At 42.2% G+C, this 18,673-nt stretch overlaps 1 protein-coding gene and 1 non-coding gene across 13 annotated transcripts in view; both read left to right on the top strand.

The window, feature by feature from the left end:
* Nucleotides 1-18,673, top strand: part of YY1AP1 (YY1 associated protein 1) — a 29,555-nt gene that overhangs the window by 2,745 nt on the left and 8,137 nt on the right. For 5 of the 12 annotated variants that reach the window (NM_001198903.1, NM_001198901.2, NM_001198906.2 and 2 more), the window contains 7 exons: nucleotides 5,796-5,836; nucleotides 6,740-6,843; nucleotides 9,506-9,704; nucleotides 11,156-11,242; nucleotides 13,521-13,692; nucleotides 15,788-15,932; nucleotides 17,475-17,625. In NM_001198903.1, the coding sequence (NP_001185832.1) occupies nucleotides 5,796-5,836; nucleotides 6,740-6,843; nucleotides 9,506-9,704; nucleotides 11,156-11,242; nucleotides 13,521-13,692; nucleotides 15,788-15,932; nucleotides 17,475-17,625 (899 nt within the window). Of the gene's footprint in view, nucleotides 1-5,795; nucleotides 5,837-6,243; nucleotides 6,325-6,422; nucleotides 6,844-6,938; nucleotides 7,095-9,505; nucleotides 9,705-11,155; nucleotides 11,243-13,520; nucleotides 13,693-15,787; nucleotides 15,933-17,474; nucleotides 17,626-18,673 lie in introns of those variants that run through there. The other 7 variants (NM_001198904.1, NM_139118.3, NM_001198905.2 and 4 more) reach the window with 5 other exon arrangements.
* Nucleotides 6,997-7,144, top strand: SCARNA26A (small Cajal body-specific RNA 26A). The gene has a single exon (NR_132762.1).

Below are 18,673 nucleotides of genomic sequence, written 5' to 3'. Positions count from 1 at the left end.
TATCCTGGCTAACAGGATGAAACCCCGTCTCTACTAAAAATACAAAAAATTAGCCGGGCGTGGTGGCGGGCGCCTGTAGTCCCAGCTACTCGGGGAGGCTGAGGCAGGAGAATGGCGTGAACCCGGGAGGCAGAGCTTGCAGTGAGCTGAGATTGCGCCACTGCACTCCAGCCTGGGCCACAGAGGAGACTCCATCTCCAAAAAAAAAAAAAAAAAAAAAAAAAAGACTGATTTCATGTAGTAAGGATCCCGTCTATGAACTCTATGAATATGAGGTAAGAATGCATGAACTAAGCCAACTTAGCTGTATTCTTCTGGAAAATGGGATGTTTCTTGATAGGCTAGATTAGTGGTTCTTAAAAGTTTTTTGGGGTCACTTATCCTTCAGAGAATCGGATGAAAGACACTGGGCCCTCAAGTTAGAAGATGAGCATAAGCGCAATCACATGATTTATATATATGATTTTAGGAACTTAAACTGTAATGAAATAGAGCCAATTTATATTTAGATCTCATTTGAAAACCTTTCATTTTCATTGTTCGGGTGTGTGGATGTTAGTATGAGTTTAAGGTGAAGGAGTCTATGTTAGTATTTGAACATGTTGACAGGATCCATATTTTTAATTTATTCTTTTTATCGTCTGCAAACATTTCTGCAGTATTAGTAAATGACTCTGTATTTGGTAAAAAGGGAAGCTAATGTCGCACAAGTATCTATGGCTTTGTTCTTTGTCAGTATCTTTTTGTTCTCAAACTCTGAGAAGCGTCTTTTTTTCAGTTTTGGATTGGGCCTGAGGTGATTTGAAGCTCCTGTCTTGGAGTTTAACTTAGTTATAACAAACACTGAGTTAATCCTATGCAGGAGACACAAAGATAATTAATATATGGTCTCTGTGCTTGAAGAGACGCTAATTTTCTGTGGTTGAAGAGATGCTGTGAATTGTGTGATAGTGGCAGCTCTCAAAAGGACAAGGAAGAGGGAAACATATTCCTAGAAGCTGAAATTTTATTACCCAATTGCAAAGACTTTTTGTCACTACTTATTCTTAGGAATAACCATAAAGTGTTTATTTTATTCTGTATGGAACTTTGTACTTTAAAAAAATATGTTTTGTATCATCTGGTGTTTTTGTATAAAGGAACTGTTGGTTTGAAAAGAAGGTAAACATCATTTATATTCCTTACCTTGTTTTGGGATGTATCTCTACAGTGAGTTTATGTAAAAAGGTCTTAATGTCATTTTTGGGTATACATACATGTAGAAAGCCCTCCTGATATAAAATCCAGTAGCTATTTGACAGACTACCCATTAATTTATTACTGGAACTTAAAAATAATTACTGTACTTTTAAAAGAACAAGAAATTGGTCAGGTGGGGTGGCTCACGCCTGTAATCCTAGCACTTTGGGAGGACGAGGCGGATGGATTGTCAGAGCTCAGAAGATCGAGACCAGCCTGGGCAACACGGTGAAACCCCGTCTCTACTAAAATACAAAAAATTAGCTGCATGTGTTGGAGTGCACCTGTAGTCCCAGCTACTCGGGAAGCTGAGGCACGAGAATTGCTTGAACCAAGAATTGCTTGAACTGGGAGGGGGAAGTTGCAGTGAGCTGAAATCATGCCACTGCACTCTAGCCTCGGCATCAGAGCAACACTCTGTCTCACAAAAAAAAAAAAAAAAGCAAGAAATGTAAAAAGGTGTTTTAATAGGACAGATTATAGGATTCAGTGAGATAATGGAGAAGTTTTAGGAAAAATTGTCTGATAGTCCTTTCTTTCTATTGACATGGCCCCTGTATAAGAATGCTATGTAAATTTGTGAAAAGTTTAATATTTTCTCTAATTTTTAACGGGTAGTAGGTTCATGGTGTTATTTTTCTCAAAACGTACATGTGATATGTGTGTGTAGTGTGCATATATGTGCATGTATGTGTATACAATTTCTTTATTTTTTTAATTGAGATTAGGTCTCGCTATGGTTTTTTGTTTTTGTTTTTGTTTTTGAGAGAGAGTTTCGCTCTCCTCGCCCAGGCTGGAGTACAATGGCACAATCTTGCCTCACTGCAACCTCTGCCTCCCAGGTTCAAGTGATTCTCTTTCCTCAGCTTCCCAAATAGCTGGGATTACAGGCGCGTGCCAACACGCCCTGCTGATTTTTGTATTTTTAGTTGAGACAGGGTTTCCCCACGTTGGCCAGGCTGGTCACGAACTCCTAACCTCAAGTTCTCCAGCCGTCTCGGCCTTCCAAAGTGCTGGGATTATAGGAGTGAGCCACTGCACCTGGCCCAGGTCTTGCTATGTAGATCAATCTGGTCTTGAACTCCTGGCCTCAAGCCATCCTCCTGTCTTGGCCTCCCAGTTTGCTGGGATTACAGATGTGAGCCAGCATGCCCAGCTCTTTTTACCTGCTTACCAAATCCAAGATTTTCTCCAAAATGAACTGGAATAGCCTTCTTACTGTGTTAATTTTGCCTTGGTGGGGAAGCCTAAGTCTTGGAACTAAATTGGGGTGGTTATGACAGTTCTCTTTTTAAAGCTGATCAGTATTTCAGTATTTCACTTGTTGTTGTTTTTTTTGTTTTGTTTTGTTTTTTTTGAGATGGAGTCTTGCTCTGTAGCCCAGTTTGGAATGCAGTGGCAGGATTTTGACTCACTGTAGCCTCTGCCACCCGGATTCAAGTGATTCTCCTGCCTCAATGTCCTGAGCAGCTGGGTTTACAGGCACGCACCACTACACCTGGCTAATTTTTGTATTGTTAGTAGAGACAGGGTTTCACCATGTTAGCCAGTAGCCAAGCTGTTCTCATACTCCTGACCTCAAGTGATCCACCTGCCTCAGCCTCCCAAAGTGCTGGGATTACAGGTGTGAGCCACCACGCCTAGCCAAACCCATCTCTTTCATTAAACCACCTCATTTTGGTTCAGAAACAAGACTGCCATGTATGTATTTAATGCTTATTATGTGCCAAGCACTATTCCAGGTACTAAGATACAGTGATGGACAAAACAAGATCCCTTCTCCTCTATCTCAGGACTTATTAATTTGGGCATTTTCATTTTCCAATATAGGATCTTTTAGTACTGGTATAGGATTCCTGAAGGAATTCCTGAAATATAATTATTTTTCTGCTAGAGCAAATCAATTTTGTTTTTTGTTTTTTTTTTGAGATGGAGTTTCGCTCTTGTCGCCCAGGCTGGAGTGCAATGGCGCAATCTCGGCTCACTGCAACCTCCGACTCCCGGGTTCAAGCGATTCTCCTGCCTCAGCCTCCCAAGTAGCTGGGATTACAGGCATTAGCCACCACGCTAGGCTAATTTTTGTATTTTTAGTAGAGACAGGGTTTCACCAGGTTGGCCAGGCTGGTCTCGAACTCCTGACCTCAGGTGATCCTCCAGGCTCAGCCTCCCAAAGTGCTAGGATTACAGGCAGGAGCCACCACGCCCAGAAGAGCAAAATTCTTCTGTTGACAAAAATTTCTTTCCTCTGAGGAAGAGACACTGTGTGCCTGTGTTTTATCCAGGAATTCCATTGGATAGTTTGTCCTTTGGGATGTCAGTGGATTAAATCCTCCATTAAGAATCAAAGTACTTGGCTGGGTGCAGTGGCTCATGCCTGTAATCCCTGCACTTTGGGAGGCTGAGGCAGGTGGATCACCTGAGGTCAGGAGTTGGAGACCAACCTGGCCAACATGATGAAACCCCATCTCTACTAAAAATACAAAAAATTATCCAGGTGTTGTGGCAGGTGCCTGTAATCCCAGCTACTCTCGAAAAAACAGAAACAAAAACTCTGACATGTAGAGTATGTAGATGTAGAGAAAAAAGTAAAATGATTGTTGAAAAAAATGTCTATTTTTTATCTTCTAAATAGCTTTGTGTGTCAGAGATCAGAACGCTCATTTTACATGATATCAAGAACCAGAATGCTAGATAGCTAGAATGGTTGTTAACTTCCTAGATAACCATTGTAGAGGAACACATAAGGTAAAACAAATGAATAAAAATTAAAAAAAAATGAGATAGCCAAAGATTTGAAGCTCTTTACCCATTAACATGATAATCATTTCGACTTTGAATATTTGTAGAACAAGAGTCAGAACTCAGAACAAAGATCTCTGAGGAAATAAAAAAAAATCAAGCTGCCTCCTAATTTCTCATTTAGTCTGTCATTGGGCATTGTCAAACTGTCAAACTATATTTAGAGATTCTGGTTTTCATCTGGAGACTTAGTGAGTTGTGTAATATCTTGAATACACATATAAGATCTTGCCAGGTGGGGTGGCTCATGTCTGTAATCCCAGCACTTTGGGAGGATGAGGTGGGAGGATCGCTGGAGCCCAGGAGTTCAAGACCAGCCTGGGCAACATAGCAAGTCCCTGGCTCTATTTAAAAAAAAAAAAAAAAAAAAATCCTCAATGTAGAACTTTAAATTTATCCTTACGTGTTACATCCAGTTGATTTGAGAAAATATGATTCTGAATTTTCCATCAATTGGATTGGCAGTCCCTTTCAGCTTTACAGCTTTACATCATCTACAGATTTGTTAAGTATGTTCTCTTGGTCTTCTAATTCACTGATGGAGTTTTTGAATAGGTCGGGTCCAAAGATAGAGTCCTATGAAACACTGTTGGAAACTTGTCTCTGTCTGTCTCTTTTTTTTTTGGAGACAGTGTCTTGCTCTGTCGTTCAGGCTGGAATGCAGTGGGACGGTCTCAGCTCACTACAGCCTCTGCTTCTTGGACTCAAAGAGATTCTCTCACCTCAGCCTCTCAAGTATATGGGACTATATGCATGTGCGACCAAGCCCAGATAAATTTTTTTTTAGAGATATGTTGACATTTTGCCCAGGTTGGGAGACTTGTCTCTTGATTCCATTCAGTATTGTGTGGGTTTGGATAGGCCATCTAATTATAAAATCATTGGGCTGGTCATGGTGGCTCATGCCTGTAATCCCAGCACTTTGGGAGGCTGAGGTGGGCGGATCACCTGAGGTCAGGAGTTTGAGACCAGCCTGACCAATATGGAGAAACCCCATCTCTACTAAAAACACAAAATTAGCTGGGCGTGGTGGTGCATGCCTGTAATCCCAGCTACTTGGGAGGCTGAGGCAGGAGAATAGCTTGAACCTGGGAGGCGGAGGTTGCAGTGAGCCAAAATCGTGTCATCGCACTCCAGCCTGGGCAACAAGAGCGAAACTCCGTCTCAAAAAAAAAAAAAAATCATCTAGCTCACATTTTCTCCTTGTCTTCTTCCTATTAGAATTTAAGTTCAATGAGATTAGAACTCTCTCTCTCTCTCATTCTCTCATATATCCCAAGCATCTAAAACAGGGATTGAAACATAGTAAGTACTCAATAAATGTTTTTGAATAAATGAATGAAGGATAGCTGGGCGTGGTGGCTCATGCCTGTAACCCCAGCACTTTGGGAAGCCAAGGTGGGTGGATCACTGGAGCTCAGGAGTTCAAGACCAGCTTGGGCAACATGGGGAAAACCCATCTCTACAAAATATGGAAGAATTAGCCGGGCATGACAGCACACTCCTGTTGCCCCAGCTACTTGGAGGGCTGAAGTGGGAGGATCGCTTGAGCCTGGGAAGCAGAGATTGCAGTGAGCCGAGATCAAGCCACTGCCCTCCAGCCCGGGTGACAGAGTGAGACCCTGTCTCAGGAATAAGGATAGATATGAAGAATTCGTCAGATGCCTTGTTGAAAACATCATACATTGTCTACATGGAATTCCTCCATATTGTAAAATGAATCTAATTTATACCAACAACGTTTGGCTTTTTTGCAGAAAAGGAAGCAAATGAGCTGATGGAAGATCTGTTTGAAACTGTGAGTAATGATCCTCAAGTGAGAACATGGGATTGTAAGTTGGTTCTCCAACAAAATGTGTCCTTTGATCTCTGTGATGCTCCTTCTAGAAGAGGGACTGAACCAATTCTCCTTTTAGTCTACCTGGGAAAGAATATAATGACAAAAGAAATTTGCTAACTGCTAGACTCTTGATTATCCACATGTAGGTTATTCTTACTAAAATTTTCCTTGAAGCTTTTTTTTTTTTTTTTTGAGGCAAAGTCTTGCTCTGTCACCCAGGCTCTGGAGAATACAGTGGTGAAATCTCAGCTCACAGCAGCCTCGACCTCCAGGGCTCAAAACAATTCTCTCATCTAAGCCTCCTGAGTAGCTGGGACTACAGGCACACACCTACAGGCCCGGCTAATTATTTTATTTTTTTGTAGAGACAGGGTCTTGCCATGTTCTGGAACTCATAGGCTCAAGTAATCTTCCTGCCTCAACCTCCCAAAGTGCTGGAATTACAGGTGTGAGCCAGCACATCTTGCCCCTTGAAAACTTTTGATGGCTTCCCCTACTGTCATTTGGTGTGTCCTTAAAGATTGCCAACTAGTTTTAAAGTATTTTGCACACAAATAATTACCTTTTCCATAAATTTGTCTAAAAAGATATTTCTGTTTAAGAAATTGATCATTTTGAGTTATCCTAGCTCTGTGCTTACTGATACAAGTTGACTGGTTGAGCAACTTCTTTCCTGGCATAATAGTCATTCCATATGTGGGTTTGTAGGAGTCCTGAAGTGAGAAAGGTTCTGATGTAGGCTCTTTCTGGGTGCCAGCATTATTAAAGTATTGTTTATAGTTTTCACTTTTCCTTCCCAACACTGGAGCAACATTCAAAAGCCCATTCCCCAGGAAAACCCTCCCTTTCCTTTGCCCACAGTTCCAAGATGAGATGGGATTCTCCAACATGGAAGATGATGGCCCAGAAGAGGAGGAGCGTGTGGCTGAGCCTCAAGCTAACTTTAACACCCCTCAAGCTCTACGGTAGGCTAGTTGAAGACCTTGAGATTTGGAATAGAGGAAGAGTTTATTTCTGAAAAGGTTTTCAGAAGTTGCAGTTAACAATTTTTCATCCCCAGCCAGCTTCTGTTACTGATGTAAGGATGCAGAGTCCTGTCAGGAGTTAGGTGTCAAGTGAAGTCTCCTTGTTATGGGGCAGTGCAGCTGTAGGCCAAGCTGTATCTGTTTGGGAAGGGAGAAAAAACAGTAGCTGGCATCCATATCCACTTCTCCGGGTGAGTGGTGCTGGAGAGGTATGTAGGACTCAATGTGGCCAGCCACACAAACTACCCTATATTGTAATATCCAGTCTGTCCCTTTTGTTCTTTTTATGTGCCATTAATATCTGCTAAATGTGACTGAAAATTTGTTAGTCACCTAGGCATTAGTGGAGCAAACCCTGAAGCACCTGCAGTAAGGAGTCTGAAACATACGTGCTGACCTTTTTGCCTAAAGTTGGCACTTGTGTTACAGCATCCAGAAAGTAGAGGCTTTAATTTTTTCCTCATTTTGTGGTGGATTTGCATCTGCACTTTATTCTGTTGTAGCAGCATATAATCATTAGGTCGATGGCGAGAGGTCAGGATGCAGTTTGTGCCATAAGTGGAACAAAGCAAAGAGAATAGTCCCTGTAATTAGTCCTGTGTTTGAACTTAACAGCACTACTAAGCAGAGAGCTTGGGTTCCATCTGAAAGCTAGACCTTTAGGGATTTTCCAATTTAGTGAAAAAAGATAAGATAGGCCAACCAATGTCTTAAAAACTAGAACTACTAGTCATTCTCCATTACAACAAATATCACAATACAACTACATCAAAAATCTCAAGATTGCTAAGTCAGTATTTGACCCATTATTTTAATTTATAGTTCATAGAACAAAATTCTGGTATAGCAGAATGGAACCATTCATCCTGGGAACGTATAATAGGATCTGATTAATAAATATTTTGGTTTTGCTGATCAACTCTTTATAACTTCTTAAAATTTGGAAAATATAGAACTAATTTAAAATTCCTGTTAGAATCCAGTTACCTTCTGGTATTCAATGGAATATAGTCATATATCATCTCATGGTCATACCCTCTGTGAAATCTATCATTAAACGATTCATCATTGTGTAAACATCGTAGAATGTACTTACATAAACCTAAATGGTTTAGCCTACTGCATACCTATTGCTCCCAGGCTACAAAACCTGTACAGTGTGTTACTGTACTGTACTGAATACTGTAGGCAGTTGTAACACAATGGTAAGTACATATGTATGTAAACATAGAAAAGGTACAGTAATCTTATGGAGCCACCTCTGACTATGTGGTTCGTTATTGACTGAAACATTCTGTGGCGCATGACTGTACTTGGGCAGCTTCTGCTTCTCTTTCGATTGCAAATACAAACCTGTTTTTGTTTTAATCTTTGACTAAATAAAAATCCCTCTGTAAGTCCATAGAGAGTAAGCACATCTTAAAACACAATAAGGAAGAGAGAGGAGAAAAAGACAGTCAAAACAAAAACTCTGGGGCTTCCCTTATCAATTACCTAAATAATCCTTGTTAAAACTAAGTGCAGGCTATGTTTCCATTTTCTACTTTTTTATGCTTCTTCTCTTCTGTTCCTTCAGTGGTGGTAGCGCGGATGTTCAAATTTTCAGTTCTCAGTAAAGATTGTATAGACAGTCCCACGGTCTTCAGGTTTTTACTCTGTGCTACCCAAACCTACAGTAAATACTATAAAAGAAAACTTATTCAAACGTAATCTTTATCTGCAAAAACTATTGAAAAACGTTACCATTTAACTATTGCTGTAATATAGGGGGTTCCTTGAAATATGATAACCTGCTTGTTATAGCTACTTCAGCAGATCTTATCCTGTTGCATAGGGTATCAGCATATGCTTAATCATTTAGGTATATTATTCTCCCTTTATTTCTTTCTATGTAAACATAGAAAAGGTATAGTAATCATACATAGAACTGACATGCTAGGTATTGGAATTTTTGCTTCAGCCCTGCAAACAATCTTTCAGGAGGGTATGGATGGGAAGTTAGGGTTAGGAACCTTGGAAGAGGAATTTAAAGGGCTAAAAGAAGATAGCCTTCATGGATAATATTTTAACTAACTTCTCCGTTCTGTTCATTTGAACTACCATGTACTTCAGTTATTTTGGTATATCCTTTTCCTGCTTCATGCTAGAAAGTCTTTGACTTGTTAAGAAAGCAGGGCAGTGCAGCCTGAGTAGATAGGATAATGGGACAAGCTGGACCTGGGATGGGAGTAACATCCCAGGGAGTAACAAGTAATGAGAGAAGAAATGAGAATGATGAGTTCCCACCAGCTCCTTGGCTGCTTTCTTACCCATATATTTCTCTGTCCCTAGTTTTTTGTTTAATTTTTTCTTCATTTGTATATTATTTGGAAGAGGAATTGTAGAGGAATGGGATGGGGTGTAATACAGAATCATTTGATGCATGCTAACTACTTTGGGAAAAGATTTGTGTAAGGCTGGGAGTTTGACTGTTGGCTAAAGTGAAAAGGGGGGATTAGTAGGGAATGAAAATTGTTCAGGCTCTTTGCTCATCATTGCAAAGAATTGGATGTGTTGTGGACCTAGGAAAACACTCAAATTCAGTCATCCCCGTTTGGGATAGGTTTGAGGAACTACTGGCCAACCTACTAAATGAACAACATCAGATAGCGAAGGAACTATTTGAACAGCTGAAGATGAAGAAACCTTCAGCCAAACAGCAGAAGGAGGTAGAGAAGGTTAAACCCCAGTGTAAGGAAGTTCATCAGACCCTGATTCTGGACCCAGCACAAAGGAAGAGACTCCAGCAGCAGATGCAGCAGGTAACACTTTCCTTGGTCATATTAATATTGAATTATACCAAGGCCTAACTCTGAGGCTTTGGTATAATCTAAAATTAGCAGCTTTGTAAATGTCAGAGATAGTTACCTTACTACGTATTAAAACCGTAGTATCTTCACATCAGTTAGGAGCTTGAGAAGTCATCATGTTCATGTCCTGTGGCTCAGGGAAGACAGCACATAAGGACCCTAATGGTATTCGGAATTACAGATTTCAAAGAGTCCTCAGTAATCTATTCTGAAATTTAACCTTCACTGTGACAAGTAGTTTTTTTTCCCTTTTCCCTTTTCTTTTTTCTTTTTTTTTTGAGACGTAGTCTCGCTCTGTCACCCAGGCTGGAGTGCAGTGGCTCAATCTCAGCTCACTGCAAGCTCTGCCTCCCGGGTTCACGCCATTCTCCTGCCTCAGCCTCCCGAGTAGCTGTGACTACAGGGACTCGCCACCACACCCAGCTAATTTTTTGTATTTTTAGTAGAGACAGGGTTCACTGTGTTAGCCAGGATGGTCTCGATCTCCTAACCTCGTGATCCACCCGCCTCGGCCTCCCAGAGTGCTGGGATTACACGCGTGAGTCACTGCGCCCGGCCTTTTCCTTTTCTAATCTCAGTTCCTCCTCTGTTTAGAGGTTAAACTTCCTCTGGTTCTGTCATTTTGTTCAAGGGAACATGTCTGAGAAATTTATGCCAAGATCCTACGTTGTTCTCACACTCTTTGCAGAAAGCAAAATTTGTGTCATAAAGTTGCAAACATCTTAGTTAATGACTCTCTGGTGGCTGGGTGCAGTGGCTCACACATGTAATCCCAGCACTTTGGGAGGCTGAGGTGGGAGGATTGCTTGAGCAGGGGAGTTCAAAAGCAGCCTGGACAACATAGTGAGACTCTGTCTCTACAAAAAATAAAAATAAGGCTGGGCACAGTGGCTCACACCTGTAATCCCAGCACTTTGGGAGGCCAAGGCGGGTGAATCATGAGGTCAGGAGTTTGAGGCAAGCCTGGCCAACATGGTGAAACCCCGTCTCTACGAAAACAAAAAATTAGCTGGGTGTGGCGGCGGGCACCTGTAATCCCAGCTACTCGGGAGGTTGAGGCAAGAGAATCACTTGAACCTGGGAGGCAGAGGTTACAGTGAGCCGAGATCACGCCATTGCACTCCAGCCCAAAAGTCAGTGCGAGACTCTGTCTAAAAATAATAATAATAATAATAATAAAATAAATTAGCCAGGCATTGTGGTCACAGCTACTTGGGAGGCTGAGGTGGGAAGATTGCTTGAGCACAGGTGGTTGAGAGGGCATTGAGTCATGGTTGCACCACTGCACTCCAAGCTGTGTGACAGAGCAAGACCCTGTCTCCAGGGGGAAAAAAAAATATCTCTGGGCTCCTGAAATGGCAGTGTCATAACATATCACTGCATTATTTTCTTTCTCTCCCCAGCATGTTCAGCTCTTGACACAAATCCACCTTCTTGCCACCTGCAACCCCAATCTCAATCCGGAGGCCAGTAGCACCAGGATATGTCTTGTAAGTTTCCAAATTGCCGTAATTCTATAGACTAGAATATAAAATTAGCTTGGCAGGTTATTTCTCACAGTTATTCTCTCAGGTATTTTTGATTGCTGTGGCTTCCTATGTTTGCTGAGTGAACATAAGCCACTGATTCACATGAAAGGACAAAGAGTGTATTCAATTTTTTCTTTTCTTTTTTGAGACAGGGTCTTGCTCTTTCACCCAGGATGGAGTGCGGTGGAACAATTTCAGTTCACTGCAACCCCTGCCTCCCGGGTTCAAGTGATTCTCCTGCCTCAGCCTCCCAAGTAGCTGGGACTACAGGCGGGCACCACCACGGGTAATTTTTTTTGTATTTTTAGTAGAGACAGGGTTTTGCCATGTTGGCCAGGCTGGTCTCGAATTCCTGACTTCAAGTGATCTGCCCACCTCTACCTCCCAAAGTACTGGGATTACAGCCATGAGCCACTGCGCCTGGCCTGTCCTTCTGATATTTTTATTGGGTCCTCCTCCTCATCTTTAGATTCACCCTGACTTCTTAGGTTTTTGGTACCGCTATTCATTTCATAGATGTTGAGGCTGGGCATAGTGGCTCACACCTGTAATTCCAGCACTTTGGGAGGCTGAGGTGATAGGATCACTTGAGCCCAGTGGTCAAGAACAGCCTGGGCAACATAGTAAGACCCGGTCTGTGTTTTTTTTGTTTTGTTTTGTTTTAATTTAAATAATGAAGTAAATATACATGTAGATGTTGAATTCATTATCCATTCATGAAGCTCAATATTAGTGTTTTATGTGTAGAGCTAGTTTTGCTCATGACGTTTTGAGGTATTTTGAGCTTTTTTTTTTTTTTTTTTTTTTTTTGAGACGGAGTCTCGCTCTGTCGCCCAGGCTGGAGTGCAGTGGCGGGATCTCGGCTCACTGCAAGCTCCGCCTCCCGGGTTCACGCCATTCTCTTGCCTCAGCCTCCCAAGTAGCTGGGACTACAGGCACCCGCCACTATGCCCGGCTAATTTTTTGTATTTTTAGTAGAGACGGGGTTTCACCGTTTTAGCCGGGATGGTCTCGATCTCCTGACCTCGTGATCCGCCCACCTCGGCCTCCCAAAGTGCTGGGATTACAGGCGTGAGCCACCGCGCCCGGCCTATTTTGAGATTTTAAATTTGAAATTTGGCCAGGTATGGTGGCTCATGCCTGTAGTCCCAGCACTTTGGTAGGTCAAGGTGGGAGGATTGCTTGAGCCCAGGAGTTTGAGACCAGCCTGGGCAACATAGTAAGACCCCATCCCTACCAAAAAAATAAAAAATAAAAAAATTAGCTGGGGATGGTGCCGAGTGCCTGTAGTCCCAGCAACTTGGGAGACTGAGGTAGGAGGATCACTTGAGCCTGGGACGTTGAGACTGTAGGGAGCCGTGCTTATATATCACTCCAGCCTGGGTGACAGAGTGAGAACCTGTCTCACAAAAACAAAACCATACTTTACCTCATAAAAATTGCCTCAAACTTTTGGACAGGTAATGATAATACTCTCAGCTTCTTCAGTAAGTCTTCTTTGGATTTTGAAGAGTACATTTGCTAGTATTCTAAAACTTCCTTGGTGATCAACAGGATGTCTTCATCTCTTACTGTATTCAGAGGAGGATGAGGAGTACTTGGTTGTAGGCATTATTCTGAGACCAAAAGACAAAACAATTTTAAAAGTAATGGTCCTGGTCGGGTGAGGTGACTCATCCCTGTAATCCCAGCACTATGAGAGGCCGAGGCAGGCGGATTGTGAGCCCAGGAGTTCGAGATCAGCCTGGCCAAGATGGGAAAACGCTGTCTCTGCAAAAAATACAAAAATCAGCTAGGTTTGGAGGTGTATGCCTATAGTCCCAGCTTCTCAGGAGGCAGTGGGAGGATGGCTTGAGCCTGGGAGGGGGAGTTTGCAGTGAGCTGAGATCATGCCACTGCAGTCCAGCCTGAGCGGCAGAGTGAGACCATGTCTCAAAATAAATTAATTAATTAAATTAAAGTAATAGTCCCCATTCTTGAGACTCTTAATTCTAGCTCGGGAGCTAGACCATGTATTCCTTAGTGAGAAACAGTTTAAAAATAAAACAAGAATATAATCCCTGAATATCTGAGAACTCAGGCATAATCTTAACAGTAGTTTATTGTGAAAGACTTTATGATTATTTTTACCTGTTTTTATCCTGTAGTAGGAAGGTCAGCTTCTCATTTAGATTCTGAAGGCTATTGGTATTAATTGTCTGGAATTGTCTTAGATCTTCCTTGTGTCGTGTTTTCCCAGAAAGAGCTGGGAACCTTTGCTCAAAGCTCCATCGCCCTTCACCATCAGTACAACCCCAAGTTTCAGACCCTGTTCCAACCCTGTAACTTGATGGGAGCTATGCAGCTGATTGAAGACTTCAGCACACATGTCAGCATTGACTGCAGCCCTCATAAAACTGTCAAGAAGACTGGTAGGAGACAGATGTGTCAGCTTTAAGTTTTTACTTGCGGTGAGAGGTGGTGGGAATCTTATCCCATAGATAACTTCCTAGGATACTTGCCTAGGAATGGAGGACACAGGACATTTGTAATTTCTTCCTTCTCTCTTTTATCCTCCCTTTGTACTCATTATCCAAGTTCTAGAATTACATGATAATCTCCGGGCCTGGGTAAGGCATGGAGGCAGTGGACAGTATAGGAATATGGGAGGTAGAGATCTGAGGCTCAGTGCTAAGAATTGGACTACAGCAATATGAGGGGTAAGTATTAGGAATCAGATCAAGATAAACTGGGGCCTGGTAAAGATGAAAGTCAGGTGGTAAAGTTCGGTCATGTTTAGCTTTTTATTCTCTTCATTAAGATCAACTAACTTTATTTACCATAATGATTGTAGCATAGGTGATATCTCCATTCTGAATGAAATGTTGACTTGCAAGTTAGGCGTAAATTAGAGATTGTACATTTGCCGTGTTCAGTATTTTAAAGAAATTTGCCGGTTTAGATTCTACCTTGCATTGGTTTAGTATTTTTTGAGAAAATATTTGCTATTTACTTAAGCCAAATATTTACTTCTGATTTGTTTGCTGACTTAGCAAATTAGTTGTGGTTTGTTCTGGATTTGGGTTTGTCTTTGGATTCTATTTTAAATCCCTAAGTCTTATCATTACATTGAATGTAGTTGAATTTAAGTGTACTATATCATAGACACAGATCCCAAACTACTTTAATAGCTATATTATATGAAATGGTAATGAAAACGTGATTTAATACCAAATTATAGTATTATCTTACACATCTAGTGTCCTGTGTTTTTCTTCTGGAGATATAAAAATGACACTTATGGAAGGAGAAATATGGATATAGTAGTTTTGTCTCTAGAAATGCAGAGGTGCCTAAAATTGAGAGGCTGAGAGAGGGAGACAGAAATGAATGAGACTGAATTGTCTCATTCCTTTTATGGTTCTTTTGTTCCCAACCTCAGGAGGAATCTGGGAGAACTTAATGAAAGTTAAGAAAGAATGAAATAAAAGTAAAATTTGGAATACCAGGTTTGTGAGGGAGATTAAAGAAGTTGGAATCTTTTTTCTTTTTTTTTTTTTTAAGATGGAGTCTCGCTCTGTCACCTAGGCTGGAGTGCAGTGGGGTGATCTCGGCTCACTGCAACCTCCGCCTCCCAGGTTCAAACAATTCTCCTGCCTCAGCCTCCCAAGTAGCTGGAATTACAGGTGCGTGCCACCATGCCTGGCTAATTTTTACATTTTTGGTAGAGATGGGGTTTCACTATGTTGGCCAGGCTGGTCTTGAACTCCTGACCTCAGGTGATCCACCTGCCTCGGCCTCCCAAAGTGCTGGGATTACAGGCGTGAGCCAGCACGCCTGGCCTGGAATCTTATCCTGGAAGAAAAAAGCATTGTTGAAGGTCTGTTATCCTTCAGAGATTTAAAGGGGAAAGGAGGTAAAACATTTTTGAGCATACACTATGTGACAGGTATTACTAGGTACTTTTTAAGTGTTTGTTTTACTTTGTGAATAAAGTGTTACACGTAAGAAAGAGTAAGAGAGGCCGGGCGCCGTGGCTTACGCCTGTAATCCAACACTTTAGGAGGCCGAGGCTGTCGGATGACAAGGTCAGGAGATCAAGACCATCCTGTCTACAGTGAAACCCCGTCTCTACTAAAAATACAAAAAATCAGCCAGGCGTGGTGGCAGGCGCCTGTAGTCCCAGCTACTCAGGAGGCTGAGGCAGGAGAATGGCCTGAACCCGGGAGGCGGAGCTTGCAGTGAGCCAAGATTGCGCCACGCACTCCAGTCTGGGCGACAGAGCCAGACTCCGTCTAAAAAAAAAAAAAAAAAAAGTCAACTTTTATTGCCAGTGAATGGGACTCCCTTTAGACCTAATGTTAGTTGAGGAAAGACTGTGGAAACTCTTTGGGGAGTGGTAGGCAGATGGGAGGGAATCAAGTTAGATAAGGACAGCTCTACCTAAATGCAAAAATGCATTCACAGGCTTTTTGAAGCCCTCTTTTTTCCTAGAAGTTGATTTATCAGAGATTTATTTTCTTATAGCCAATGAATTTCCCTGTTTGCCAAAGCAAGTGGCTTGGATCCTGGCCACAAGCAAGGTTTTCATGTATCCAGAGTTACTTCCAGTGTGTTCCCTGAAGGCAAAGAATCCCCAGGATAAGATCCTCTTCACCAAGGCTGAGGACAAGTAAGTGTTTACTCTGGGGGATCAAATATCCCAAGGAGAAGATGTAGTTCCTTTGAGGAGTTTAGGGGAAGTAAGACTTGTATAATAAGACATGGACACAAAAGGAAAAGCAGTATAGATGAGCAGAGTCCTCTAGAACGTGCTTGTTCTAGCAGTGCCAAATACTGCTTTTTGGGGGGATGTTACACACATTTTTAAAATGTTTTAGACTGGACATGGCGGCTCCCACCTGTAATCCCAGCACTTTGAAAGGCCAAGGCAGGAGGTTGGCTTTTCTAATGTTATTATTTATTTAGAGACAGGATCTTACTCTGTCACCCAGGCTGGAGTACAGTGTTGCAATCACAGCTCACTGCAGCCTTGAACTCCTGGGATCAAGTGATCCTCCTGCCTCAGCCTCCATGGAGTAGCTGGGACCACAAGCGTGTGCCACCATACATGGCTGATTTTTTTTGTACAGGTGAGGGTATCTCTGTGTTGCCCAGGCTGCTCTTGAATTCCTGACCTCAAATGATCCTCCCACTCCTGGCCTCCCAAAGTGCTGGGACTATAGGCATAAGCCACCACACCCAGCTAGATTATGAACATTTTTATGGCCCTTTGTGTGTATTGCCACACTGTTAACAGCAAATATGTATATATGTAACCATGATTATATATGTTATGTTAGAGGGTAGTATTGGTGCCAGTTTAATTTGTCTGACGGGGTACCTATTATTCATTTTATATTTGTTTTATTAGAATCATTCTCCTTCCCATGTATTCTCTTTGAACTTCCTTTGTGTTGTTAATATACAGCTCATCATGATCTGACATTTATTGATGATTTATGACTAGTTTCTCTTGCTCCTACTTAATTGTGAACTATTTGATTCTTATTCATAGTACTTAATCACTACTCACTAAATACCTGAAATTTTCTACTGAGTAGTCACCAACTTGTAGTAGTCACTACAAGAATTAGTTGTAGAAAAAGTAGATTGGCCAGCCATGGTGGCTCACACCTGTAATGACGACACTTTGGGAGGCCGAGGCAGGAGGATCACTTGAGGCCAGAAGTTCAAGATCAGCCTAGGCAACAAAGTGAGAACTGGTCTCTACAAATAATGAAATAAAACATTAGTTAGGCATGGTAGCAAACGTTTATAGCCACAGATACTCAGGAGGCTGAAGTGCGGGAATCGATTGAACCCAGGCATTCAAGACTGCAGTGCACTGTAATCATGCCACTGCTCTCCAGCCTGGACAACAGAGCAAAACCCTGTCTGAAAAAAATGAAAAAGTAGATTGGGCCACACGCCATGGGCTCATGCCTGTAATCTCAGCACTTTGGGAGGCTGAGACTGGAGAATCGCTTCAGCTTAGGAAGTAGCAGCTGCAGTGGGCTGCGATCACGCCACTGCACTCCAGCCCAGGTGACAGAGTGAGACCTTGTTTTAAGAACAAGTAAGAAAAAGTAGATTGTAAAATGTGTTAGTCTGGGGAGGCCCTTTAGAAGGAAGGACTGTGAAGTGAGATTTAGTGTTATTGCTCCTTTCTCAGTTTGTTAGCTTTAGGACTGAAGCATTTTGAAGGGACTGAGTTTCTTAACCCTCTAATCAGCAAGTACCTTCTAACCTGCAAGACTGCCCGCCAACTGACAGTGAGAATCAAGAACCTCAACATGAACAGAGCTCCTGACAACATCATTAAAGTGAGTGTTTCCTGCATGCACTATCCAGGCACCTCACCAACACATATCTGTTCTTTTCTCTTGTTATTCTCAAAGAAAAGAAGAACCTTCTTTTATCTAAAGCTAATTTCTCCTACTTATATACTAGATTAATTCCCCTGTTGCCTTTTCAGGGACATTGATTCATTCATTACGTTCCTCTGGAGTATCTTCATCCTCTTAAAAGATTCCACAAATCCATGTTTCCCTGTAATAATTCTCTTTCTTGAACTTTCTAGAAATGATATGCAGTATTCCACTTACATGCTTTGGGTTTTTGTTTTGTTTTGTTTTTTTGGTCAGACATAATCTTGCACTGTCACCCAGGCTGGAGTGCAGGAGTATAGTGGCATGATCTTGGCTCACTGCAGCTTCCGCCTCCCGGGTTCAAGTGATTCTCCTGCCTCAGCCTCCCAAATAGCTGAGATTACAGGCGTGCCCACCACGCTCAGCTAATTTTTTGTATTTTTAGTAGATACGGGTTTCACCATGTTGGCCAGGCTGGTCTTGAACTTCTGACCTCAAGTGATCCACCAGTTTTGGCTTCCCAGAGGCTAGGATTGCAGGCATAAGCCACCGTGCCCAGCCTATATACTTTTTCTCAATTTTGTGTTTGTATGTATGCATGTATGTGTGTGTGTGTGTGTGTGTGTGTTTGTGTGTGTCTGTGTCTGTATGTATGTATGTATGTATGTATGTATGTATTGAGATGGAGTTTCGCTCTTGTCGCCCAGGCCCAGCCTATATACTTTTTCTCAACTCTTTTTACTTATTGATTGATTGATTGAGATGGAGTCTCGCTCTTGACCCCCAGGCTGGAGTGCAATGGTGCGATCTTGGCTGACTGCAACCTCTGCCTCCTGGGTTCAAGTGATTCTCCTGCCTCAGCCTCCCTTGTAGCTGGGATTACAGGCCCCTGCCACCATGCCCAGCTGATTTTTGTATTTAGTAGAGTCGGGGTTTCACCATGTTGGCCAGGCTGGTCTCGAACTCCTGACCTCAGGTGATCCATCTGCCTCGGCCTCCCTAA

The sequence above is a fragment of the Homo sapiens genome, chromosome 1, assembly GCF_000001405.40.
Source record: "Homo sapiens chromosome 1, GRCh38.p14 Primary Assembly".
Classification (NCBI taxonomy): Eukaryota; Metazoa; Chordata; class Mammalia; order Primates; family Hominidae; genus Homo; species Homo sapiens.
Note: the sequence above shows the minus strand (reverse complement) of the source record. Positions and strands in the feature narration are given on the sequence as shown.